The sequence below is a fragment of the Homo sapiens genome, chromosome 2 (assembly GCF_000001405.40).
Source record: "Homo sapiens chromosome 2, GRCh38.p14 Primary Assembly".
Lineage (NCBI taxonomy): Eukaryota > Metazoa > Chordata > Mammalia > Primates > Hominidae > Homo > Homo sapiens.
In genome coordinates, this window is record NC_000002.12 from 107,516,207 (window position 1) to 107,529,373 (window position 13,167).

Sequence of the window (13,167 nt, forward strand, 5' to 3'; positions counted from 1 at the left end):
CCTAAGCCTCCCAAGTAGCTGGGATTACAGATATGCACCACCACACTTGGCTAATTTTTTAAATTTTTTATTTGCAGAGATGTGGTCTCACTGTGTTGCCCAGACTAGTCTCAAACTCCTGGCCTCAAACAATTCTCCTGCCTCAGCCTCCCAAAGCACCGCAACTACAGGCATGAGCCACTGCACCCAGCCCCAAGAACTTTTCTCATGGCCCTTTCATGAGCCATTTTTTTTTCTCCTCTCCCCTATTCTCAGACAATCTACTTTCTCTTATTGTGGATTACTTTGCAATTTCTAGAATTTTATATAAATGAAATCACAAGTGGTTTTTGTTGGTCTTTCCTATTTTACTTAGCATAATTAAATATTTATCTTAATATTAGTATTGCTCATCATCACTATCAATCATGAACAGCCATCAGTTGAATCAATATCTACAATTTCTTTTTGTTTTGCTTTGTTTCTGTTTTGCAGAGGAGTATTCTACTGCACGGATGTGCCGTAATGTATTCATTCGCATTTTGATAGATATTTGGGTTGGTTTAAGTTGTCTGGGCTATTACAAATAAAGCTGATATTGTAATTGTGTAAAAGTCCTGGTGTGAGCACGTGCTTTTATTTCTCTCGGCTATATTCTTAAGAGTAGATAGAATGGCTGTTCACATGATAAGTACATGTTTAGTTTGCCAAGCAACTGCCAAAATATTTTTCAAATGGTTGTACTATTTTCCATTTTCAGAAGCAATGAAAGAGAGCTTCAGTTGTAACACATGCGTGCCAATATCTGATATAGACTGTCTTTTAAACTTCTGCTGTTTCAGCAAATGTATAGTGGTATTTTATTTTGGTTTTAATTTGCACCTTCCTCATGACTAATGATATTAAGCAACTTTTCAGGTGCTTACTTTCCAACTATACATTTTCTGCATGTGATATTTTTGCATCTGTATATTTTTTGCATGTGATATTTCTGTTAAATATTTTTCCATTTTTACTGATTTATTTTTCTTATTTTTGTCAGTATTATATATGTTATATATATGATACAAGAACTTTGTCTTTTCATGCATGTGTTTTGTAAATGTTTTCTTCCAATTCATAGCTTTCCTTTTGGTTTTCTTAAATATGTATATTGAAGGACAAATGTTTAAAATTTAATGAAGTCCAAATTATTTTTTATATATTTTAAGCGTGCCGGGTCCCACTTTAAGAAATCTTTGTCAGAGCCAAGATTACTAAAATGACCTCTTGGTTTCTTCTTGAACTTATATAGTTTTAACTTTCCCATGTAGCTCTATGATTCAATTTGAGTTTTTTAATATTGTATGAGATAAAGTCTCAGTTCTTTTGCATAGGACTATCCAGTAGTTCCAGTACAGTTTGATATAAATATTATTCTCTCCTCATTTAGTTTCCTCAGTTCCTTGGCCAGAAATCAATTGCACACATTGTAGGTCTATTTATGCACTGTCTAACCTGTTTTTTTGGCTTATATTTCCATCTTTATGCCATACTGTCTTGATTATTGTAGTCTTGAAATAAATCTTAAAATCAGATACTCTAGGTTCTCTGTATTTGTTATTCTTTGTCAAAAATAGTTTGGTAATTCTACATTATTTGCATTGCTTAAATAAATGTAAGGATCACCTTGTCATTTTCAACAGAAAAGGCTTCCAGGATTTTGATGAAGATAATATTAAATCTATCTATCTATGTATCTATCTATCATCTGTCATCTATCTATAAATTAAACTAGAGAAATAATGTGATTAAAGTATAAATATATTACAAATAAAATTGTTATTTTCAATTTTACTTTCTGTTCATTTCCAGAATATAGAAATAGAATTTATATTTGTACGCTGACTTCAAATCCTGCAATCTTCCTAAAGTCACTCATTATTTCTAGTACTTTTTCCATAGATTACATAGTATTTTCTACATAGAAAATTATCTCATCTGCAAATAAAGACCATTTTACTTCTCCTTTTCTAATCTGTATGCCTTTTATTTGCATGGTTAGGACTTCTGAGACTGTTGAATTGAAATGGTAAGAGTAGAAATTATTATCTCATTTCCAGTCTTACAAAGAAACTATGAAGTATTTTATCATTAAGTATGATGCTGTAAGTTTTTAATAGATTCTTTCCATTAAATAGAAGAAGTTCCATTTTATTTCTCCTCTACTAAGAGTTTTAATCATGAATACATATTGATTTTGTCAAATATGTTGTGTCAATTAAGATCACACGGTTTTAGTTTTTCAGTTGGTTAGTATTATTAATTACATTAATTGATTTTCAAGTGTTAAACAAACATTGAACTCCTGGAAGGAATTCTACTTGATTATAATACCTTACTTTCTATATAAATGTATTGTTAGATTTAATTTCCAAATCTTTCTTGAGAATAGTTGCCTCTATGTTTAGCAGAGATATTGGCCTCTAGTTTGCTTTTATTATACTCTTTTTGTCTAGTTTTGGTGTTTGGGTAATGATAACTTCATAAAACGGTATGGATGTTTCTTCTATATTCTCCAATATCAATTGTATAAAATTGATAGTATTTTTTCCTTAAATGTTTGGTAGAATTCATCAACAAAGCCATCTGAGGAATTCTTTCTAGGAATGCTTTTAAATACAAAATCAATTTCTTCATAGATATAGGGCTTTTCAGATTATCTTTCTTTGTGAGTTTTGGAATTATATATATTTTAAGATATTTGTTCATTCCATCTAACTTGTGAAATTTATTCCCATAAATGTGTCCATAGTATCCTTAGTATCCTTTATTATCCTTTTAATGTCTATAGAAAGTCTAGTGATGCCTACTCTCTCATTTCTGATATTTTTAAATTGTCTTCTTTGTTTTCTTGATTATTCTGGTTGCATATTTAAAATTTTTATCGATCACTTCTTTTGATTTTACTGATTTTCTGTATTTTTCTGTTTAGCATTTTACTTACTTCTTCCTTTACTTTTATTGTTATTTTCTTTCTACATTGGGTTTACTTTGCTCTTCTTTACCTATTCTGTTAAATTCAGGGCTTAAGTCAATGACTTGAGACCTCTATTTTTCTCTTATGCAAGCATGGACACCAAAAATGTTCTTACATTTTATTTTCATTTAAATTACATTCAAAGTACTTTTTGAAAACTTTCTTCTTTGTTCCATAGGTTATATAGACATATTTTTTGCTATCAAACATTTAGGGATTTTTCACATATTTTTCTCTTTTTGATTTCGAATTTAATTCCATCTAAATGATAGAACATATTTGATATGACATAGAAACTTTTAAACATATTGGGACTTGTTTTATGACCCAGAATATAGGTCAAGTGTCCACCTGGAAATAATGTGTTTTCTATTATTCTTAGATAGAGTGGTTTATAAATGCCAGCTAAGTCAAGTTGTTTGATAGTCATGTTCAATATTTTTTATAATCATAATTTTTGCCTTCATGTTCTATTACTTATTGAGAGAAAGGCTTTGAAATCTCCCACTGTGTTTCTGCATATTCAACATATGAGGTGCTCTTTTTTGTGCGTGGACCCAAATTTCCATCTGTATCATTTTCTTCTATTTCAATGACTTCCTTTGAAATTTTCTGAAGTATGCAGGTGAAAAATTCTTTCAGGATTTCTATGGAAAAGTCTAGGTCACCTTTATTTTTGAAAGATATTTTTGTTAGATATAGAACTCTAGGTTGTTTCTTTGGTTTTTCTTTCAGAACATTAAATATACTGCTCCACTGTCTTTTTTTGTTGTTGTTGTTTTCTGATAAAAAGTTAACTGTGATTTTTATGTATGTTACTCAGCATATTCTGTGTATTTTTTTTTTTGGTGTGCTTTTAAGATTTTCTCTTTATCACTGCATTTGAGCAATTTGATTATGAGGTGACTTGGGGTAGTTTTCTTCATGTTCCTTTTACTTGGGATTTACTGAACTTCTTAGGTCTATGTGTATTGGTCTGTTTTGCTTGCTATGATAGAATACCACAGCCTGGGTGACTGGGTGGTTTATAAACAACAGAAATGTATTTTTCACAGTTGTGGAGGCTGGGAAGTCCAATGTCAAGACGCTACCAGATTCAGTAGTGAGGGTCCACTTTTTGGTTCAAAGCCATCTTCTTGCTTTTTCCTTAAATGGCAGATAGGAGTGAGGGAGCTTTCCAGGGTCTTTTTTATGAGGCACTAATTCCACTCATGAGGTGTCTGCCATCATTGGATATTAAGGTTTCAACTTATAAATTTGGGGTGGGAGAAACACATTCAGTCTATAGCACTGGGCTCATGTTTTCCAACATTTGGAAAAATGTTGGCTATATTTTCTTCATGTGTTTTTCCTTTCTCCCCAACTCATTCTCTTGTGTGCAATAAATTGCACATATATTAGCCTGCTTGAAATTGTCCTACAGCTCACTGAGACTCCACCCATTCTGTTTTCAGTCTTTTTGTTTTTTTTGTTTATTTTTGGACAGTTTATATCAATGCAGAATTAGTTCACTAAGGTTTTCTTGTGTGATGTCTGCCTAATCTGCTATTTTCCTGTTCCAGCATATTTCCCACCTCTAGAAATTCAATTTGAGTCTTTCTAATATCTAACATATCTCCTATTAACATGCTCTTTCTGTCTTCTACATTCTTGGACATCCAAAGTATATTTATAATAGCTGGCTTAATGTCTTTCTCTACTAACTTTATTAAGAGACATTTCTAATGGTTTATTTTTCTCCTCATTATAGATATATTTTTCCTGTTTTTTGCCTGTCTGGTCAGTTTTAGAATTGAATACTAAAGATTAAGAATTTTGCATTATTGAATGTTAGGTTGTTTTTTTCTTTTTGGATTCCTTAAGCTGTTTTTCCAGTTTTATTGTGAGATACAGTAAAATTATTATAAATAATTTGATCTCTTTTGAGGCTTGTTTTTAAAACTTGTGAGTCAAGGCCACAGTACTCTTTATTCCAGAACGAATTTGGTCCTGCTACTAGGATGATACATTTCTGAATACCCGACCCAAAGCCCCAAGGAATACAAGTCTTCTTGTATCTGCTGACAGTGTTTGTGGTCTATAGAAATTATTATACCTGTTCCTTTCCCACTCTCAGTTTCCTCACATACAAATACTAATCAATACTTAGCTTAATACTTGAAGGGAACCCCCTACAGGCCTCTGTGGCTCTCTCTCTGTAGTTCTCTCCTCTTCATGAAGCTCTCTTCTCTATGTTATTCAGCTATGTGAATTTTAGTTCCCTTGGCTTCTTTAAATTTTCAACATTGCCTCAACTGAGGTAGGCTGCTAACCTCTAAGTTCTCTTTTACTGCAAATTGGACTGGAAACTCAGGAAGTAGCTGTTTTAATCTTAGGGCTCACCTTATATCTTGTCCTTCAGGAATCACTATCTTGTGTTTGCTTGTTTTATAAGATCTGTAAATCATTCTGTCATATTTTTTTTTGGTTTCTTACTTAAGAGGGAAGGATAAATTTAACACTTCTTACTCCACTGTGGCTGATAATGGAAAATTTTCTACTCTTTTAGTTCTAAACTTATCTTTTGTTTTACATAAAATGTTCAGCCCTTTCTCAAAGTGGAAGTATCGTATTATACTCCCTACAACAATGCATCAAAGCTTATGATCCTCACCAACATTTAATATTGCCAGTTCTTATAAATTTAGCCATTTGAGTGGGTATTTTCTTATTATGGTTTTAAATTTTATTTCTATGATGACCAATGTTCCCTGGTGTTTCATATGCATATTGGACATTTGTATATCTTCTTTTGTGTCTGTAGAAATCATTAAAAATTTTTGTTTGTTTGTCTTTTTATTACTGAGTTATTGGAACCCTTTATATATCCTAGGTAACAGTCCTTCATCAGCTACGTATGTTTATTGAAAATATTTTTTCCTTAGTAATGACACGCCAGTGTTCTTAATGAGCATTTTGGTAACATACAGTTCAACTTTTTTCTTCAATGTTGATTGCTTCCCGTGTCCTAGCTAAGAAACTGTTGCTTTCCTTCATATAATAAAGACATTTTCTCTCAAAAGGTAACTTGCCTTATAAAGACTTCATAATGTTAATTTTTATGTTTAGGTTGTATAATCAACCTCAAATTAATATTTAGGTAAATGGTGAGCTGGGAGTCAAGGCTTAAACACTTACTGTTTTTCTTTTTTCTTATGGATATCCAAACTACATTATTTTTAAACAGGCTTTCTCTCTTCCTTGGATTGCTTTGGCACATTGGTTGAAAAATCAAATGACTATTTGGGGGCTTTATATACTGTGCTATTCACTTATTTGTTAATCCTCATGCCTGAATCATATTGCCTTGATTAATGTAGCTTTATATTAAGTTTTGAAGTCAGTATAAGAACCTCCAACTTTGTTCTGTTTTATCTAGAATACATGTATTAGAAATACTAATTTATTTGCATATTCTTGTAGACTAACAACAGCATGTCAATTTCTATAAACATCTGGCCGAACGCATAGGATCAATTCAATAGTTTTATATAGCCAGAGTTGATAATTTTACTGTATTGATTCTTTCAAATCATGAACATAAGATACCTCTTCATTTATTTAGGTCTTCTTTAATTTTTCTCACCAATGTTTCCTTTTATTTCCTAGTATAGAATTTTTATATGTGTCTTATAAAACATATCCCTAAGCATATTATGATTTCCACATAATTGTACTTGGAGCTTTAAAAACTGTACTTTTAATTATCCGCTATTAGAGTATAGAAATGTATTTTCTTGCCTTGTGTCAGGCTTAGTTCTCTACCTGTCTCTGCTCAGCAAGATCTTGGACAGATAATTTGTCATTTTTTTCAGCTCCATGACAGTCAAAGCTCTTCTTATTTATCTACCCCCATGCCTACCCCCGCACCAGGTAGTGCCTCTTTTCCTGGGCAAAGCCTAGGATGTCAGCATCTTGATGGATTCTCACAATGAGGAACTATAACTAGAAAAAGTAACTATGAAACATGAACTCATCTCCCCATGGCTTGCCTCTCAGCAGTCTTGGATCATTTATTCCTAGATACATTAGACATAGCTATATATATAATTTTATAAGCTTTTTATTTTGTTCAGTAGGAGTGTTGAACTGCTGAAAGTTACTATTGTAGAAACTATAGTGCAGCCATAGATGACTTTTAAGGGATAATACTGAATGATATGTTAATGGGTTAGAAATAGAGACAGAAAGTTAAAATTTTGTTTTCTACTCTTCATTTTATTTTTGTAGGTTCATGCTCTAACTAAACAAAATTACCCACTGTTTCTCTATGAGTCTTCCATTTCCCACATTTTTTTATTGTGAATACATGTTGCTTTTAAAAATTTTCCTGCTCAAAAGTTTATATACTTTATTTTAGTTTATTTATTTTTTTGAGGCACAATCTTGCTGTGTCACCCAGGCTGGAGGGCAGTGATGTGATCTCAGCTCACTGCAACCTCCACCTCCTGGATTCAAGCGATTCTCCTACGTCAGCCTCCCGAGTAGTTGGGACTACAGGTGCACCCCACCACATCTGGCTAATTTTTGTATTTTTAGTAGAGACAGGGTTCCACCATGTTGGCCCAGCTAGTCTCGAACTCCTGACCTCAGGTGATGAACTTGCCTCGGCCTCTCAAAGTGCTGGGATTACAGGCGTAAATCACTGCACCTGGCCTCATTTCCCACATTTGTGCCTTTTCCATGTTGGTTATTTATCCAGGAAAAATATTAAATACAACAACAACAAAAATAGGAACTAATGTTTATTGATTGGTTATTATGCTCCACTTACCATTTTAAGAGCTTTACATGTATTAACTTATTTAATCATCAGAATAACCATTTCAGGTAATTACATTATTTTTCCATTTAACTGAGTTAGAAGTTGAGGCATAGGGAATTTAAGAAACTACATACATTTGGAAAATTTTGGGGCTATTTGAAATTAGAAGCTAGGTAATCCAGTTTTAGTGTCTGTGTTTGTATTATAATCTCCCTTCCCCATCACCACTGCTCTCAGTTATCTAAAATCTGTGTATTTTAGAATAAGTATTTGGAATTTATTTGGAATAGATAGAGTTGTAATAACTATCTTTCCAATGCTGTCCCATTATGTTTTATCTTCACCTCTTTCTTTGTCTTAGATGCTCTTTATGCTAATTTATATTCTACTGCATGTTCTAGCTAACCACCTTTTACCCCTAAGGCCACTTGAGGGCAAGACCCCATACAACTCATTAAAAAAAAATTTCGATACTTTTATTTTAGATTCAGTGAGTAAATGTGCAGGTTTGTTACATGGGTATATTATGTGATGCTGAGGTTTGGAGTACAAAAGATCTCATCACTCAGGTAGTGAGCATAGTACCTAACAGTTTTTCAACACTTGGCCCCATCGCTCCCTCTCCCCTCTAGATGTCCCTAGTGTCTATTGTCTACAGCTTTATGGCCATGAGTACCCCATGTTTAGATCCCACTTATAAGTGAGAACATGCAGTATTGGGTTTTCTGTTCCTGCATTGATTCACTTAGGATGATTGTCTCTTGCTGCATCCATGTTGCTGAAAAGCATGTGATTTTATTCTTTTTTATGGCTACATAGTATTCCATGGTGTATATGTACCAATTTCTTTATCCAGTCCACTGTTGATGGGCACCTATGTTGATTCCATGTCTTTGCTATGATGAATAGTGTTGAGATTAACATGCAAATGCATGTGTCTTTTTAGTAGAATGATTTTTTCAATATATACCCAATAATGGGCTTTCTGGGTTGAATGATAGTACTAAGTTCTTTCAGAAATCTCCAAACTGCTTTCCACAGAGGCTAAATCAATTTACATTTCCACCAACAGTAGGCAAGCATTCCTTTTTCTCCACAGCCTTGCCAGCATCTACAACTCCATTTTGTTTTTGTTTTCATGTGAGTACTTAGGATAATGTCTTTCGCATTGTAGGCAATTGATGAATATGTGAAGCAGGAAAGAAAGACAATGTATTAGTTTTTACAATAATGGTTTCCAAGTCAAATATTATGTTTCCATCAGCTGTATCTCATACGTTTAAATATAGTTAAATGCTTCTGTGCAGAATTTTTTTTCTGGAATTTTCTGAAAACTTTATAGGCTTTTCCAAATTTCAAATCCTGTGAAAAATTATTCAATAAATCATGAAAACAGAAAAAAGTATTATAATTCTCATATGAAAAGTAAAGCTTACAAAGCAACATAAGAATGTTACTGGTTCAAAGGAATTTAATAATTTACTGACAATAAATTGAAAACAAAAGTGGAAAAAGTGGACTAGAAGTCAACGATTAAGGTCAGATTTCTATGAGCCAGCACAAAAACATGTGGGAGAGAAGCCAACAATTTCTAATCAGTGTTATTTGTAACTGCCATATTATGTGTGTTTTTCTGGCTCTGTATGCTGCTAATGCTTAGTCATTCTTGCAAATGAAATAAACATTAATAAATACATGTGCACAGTATACTTTATATACAGTATACTCTGTTGTGTAGTTCCCCAAGAAATAGCAAGCTTTGGAAGCAAAAAAGTCCTTAGATTGGCAATTTTGAAAGAGATTCTGTGGAGTGCTATTAACCTTTTTAACTACAGACTACAGTTCTTTGTAAATAATTTAACAGAAGACATGCAAAGAAGGAACATGATATTCTTTGTGAATATTGTGACTTGAAATTACAAACATCTGAAAATCTGAATTAGAAAAGCAATGGAGATTTTCATCAAACACACACAAATAAAATCAGTATCAGAGTAAGCCAACAAAATATTTGCATGAACCGATATATGCATTAACACCCAGTATAAAGAGGCTCTAAGATGCACTTACACATGTGACCAACTTCAACAAAAATTCAAAGACATTTCCTACACCTGGAATATTTGTCATGAAACAAAGATCAAGACTACGGGAGAGAGTAATTAATCCTTTGAGTTTTTTTTATTTTTTTTTTACTTTTTATCTTAAGAATGATAGCTTTTAATATTAAATATTTGCAGTATAATCTTTTTTGGTTTTTACAAGGCCTTCTTTGGTATAAATGTTTCCTTTTTTCATATTTTATTGTTAAATGCCTTTATCAGGTAGAGATCATTTTCTATGTTTTGGAAGTAACAAAATATATTTGTTAATAAACCATAAGTCACTGATGCTTGCTATCTAAACAGACATCATTCAAAAATGCTTAGTTGCACTATACATTATTACATGGTTTAATAAGGCATGAATAGGCAAAGGCTGGAAGCATTCCCTTGGAGAACTGGAACAAGACAAGGATGCTCACTCTCACCACTCCTATTCAGAATACTACTGAAAGTCCTAGCCAGAGCAATCAGGCAAGATAATAAAATTAAAGGCATCTAAATAGGAAGAGAGGCAGTTAAACTATCTGTCTTTGCAGAAGATATGATTCTATACCTAGAAAACCCCAAATATTTTGCCAGAAGCCTCCTGGAACTGATAAACGACTTCATTGAAGTATCAAGATACAATATCAATGTATAAAAATCAGTAGCATTTCTATACACCAATAATATCCAAACTGAGAATTAAATAAAGAATGCAGTCTTATTTACAATAGCCACAGAAAGATTAAAATACCTAGGCATACAGCTTACCATGGAGGTGAAACATCTCTACAAGAAGAATTACAAAACACTGCTGAAAGAAATAAAAAATGACACAAACAAATGAAGAAACATTCCAAGCTCATGGATTAGAAGAATCAATAATGTTAAAATGGCCAAATTGCCCAAAGAAATGTATCAATTCAGTGTTATTCTTATCAAACTATCAATGTCGTTTTTCACAGATTTAGAAAAAAGCTATTCTAAAATTCATATGAATTTTAGAGCCTGAATTGCAAAGCTAACCAGAAAGAACAAAGCCACTAGGCATCACACTACCCAACTTCAAACTATACTACAAGGCTACAATAACCAAAACATCATGGTACTGGTACAAAAACAACACATAGAACAATGGAACAGGATACAGAACTCACAAAGCTGCACAAATACAACCAACTGGTCTTCGACAGTTTTTTTTTTTTGTTTTTTTTTTTGAGATGGAGTTTCACTCTAGTCACCCAGGCTGGAGTGCAATGGCGCAATCATGGCTCACTGCAACCTCCACCTCCCAGGTTCAAGCGATTCTCCTGCCTCAGCCTTCAAGTAGCTGTGATTATAGGCACCTGCCACCAGGCCTGGCTAATTTTTGTACTTTTAGTAGAGATGAAGTTTCACCACGTTGGCCAGGCTGGTCTTGAACTCCTGACCTCAGGAGATCCACCTGCCTTGGCCTCCCAAAGTGCTAGGATTACAGGTGTGAGCCACGGCACCCGGCCAACAAAGTTGACAATAACAAACTGGGAAAAGGACTTCCAATTCAATAAATGGTGCTGGGATAACTGGCTGGTTATTTGCAGAATATTGAAACTTGACCACTTCTTTTCACCATATACAAAAACTAACTAAAGGTAAACCAAACACTTAAATATAAGGCCTAAAATAATAAAAACCCTAGAAGAAAACCTAGGAAATACCATTCTGGACATCGGCCTTGGCAAACAAATTATGACTGAGTCTTTGAAAGCAAGTGCAACGAAAACAAAAATTGACAAGTAGTACCTAATTAAATTGAAAAGATTCCACACAGCAAAATAAACTATCAACAGAGGAAAGAGACAACGTACAAAATGGGAGAAAATATTCACAAACTCTGTATCTGACAAAGGCCCAATATCCAGAATCTGTAAGGATCTTAAATAATTCAACCAACAAAAAACAACCCCATTAAAGAGTGGGCAAAGGACATAAACAGATACTTCTCAAAAGAGACATATATGTGATAAACAAATACATTTTTAAAATGCTCATTATCATTGATCATTAGAGTAATGAAAATCAAAACCATAATGAAATACCACCTCACACCAGTCAGAATGGCTATTACTAAAAAGTAAAAAAAAAAAATAGATGTTGCCAAGGCTGCAGAGAAAAGGGAACACTTATACATTGCTGGTAGAAATGTAAATTATTTCAACCACTGTGCAAAGCAGCGTGGAAATATTTCAAATAACTTAAAATGGAACTACTATTTGACCCAGTAATCCTACTACTGGGTATACATCCAAAAGAATATAAATCATTTTACCAAAAAGACATATGCATTCGTATGTTCATTACAGAGCTAGTAACCTTAGCAAAGACACAGAGTCAGCCAAGATGTCTATCAATAGTAGTCTGCATAAAGAAACTGGTACATATAAACCGTGGGATACTACGTAACCATCAAAAAGAACACAATCATGTCTTTTGCAGGGACATGAACGCAGATGGCCATTATCCTAAGCAAATTAATGCAGGAATAGAAAATCAAATAAGGCATGTTCTCATATACAAGTGGGAACTAAACATTGAGTATACATGGATACAAAGATGGGAACAATAGACACTGGGGGCTGCGTAAGGAAGAAGGGTGGGAGTGGTACATGGAATGGAAGGGTACCGATCGGGTACTGTACTCATTACCTTGGTGACAGGATCATTCTTACACTGAGCCTCAGCAACAAGCAATATCGCCATGTACCAAACCTCCACATGCATTCCCTGAACCTAAAATAAAAGTAGAGATAAATAAATAAATATAAATAATATTTATTTATTATTGGTAAATAAATGAGGCATTTATTTACCAAGACAATGTTTGTGTTCCATGACCAGTTCTGAAAAAATGGAGTTAAATACATTTATCCAAAAAATGGATAAAAATACTAGATTATTATCCTGATGCACAACAGGAACCTGTTGTGCTGTACTCATTTTGTTTAGTCACATGTTCACAAAAAAGAATTACAATTAGGAGTATTTTTTTTAAACATGAGCAAAAGCGATATTGAAGCAGTTATGGTGTCTGGGGTAAATACCTGGGGTTCATCCTCTTGCACCAAGAAAATTTAGGACACAGACACATATGAGGAGTTTAGGAGCAGAGGTTTAATGGGAAAAGAAAAAGAAAAGAAAACAGCTCTCTCTCTCTCTAGGGAGAGGGAGGAGATTTCCAAGAGGAAAGGCCAGCTGGCAGCACATGTGGTGAATTTTATAGTCAGGCTCCAGTAGGCGGT

The 13,167-nt window shown here is 33.4% G+C and overlaps 1 long non-coding RNA gene across 1 annotated transcript in view; it reads right to left on the reverse strand.

Moving 5' to 3' along the window:
* Positions 1-13,167, reverse strand: part of LINC01885 (long intergenic non-protein coding RNA 1885) — a 159,884-nt gene that overhangs the window by 133,519 nt on the left and 13,198 nt on the right. Inside the window, exon 2 of the long non-coding RNA NR_183423.1 lies at positions 12,575-12,658. This is a non-coding gene — a long non-coding RNA (long intergenic non-protein coding RNA 1885). The remainder of the gene's footprint in view (positions 1-12,574; positions 12,659-13,167) is intronic.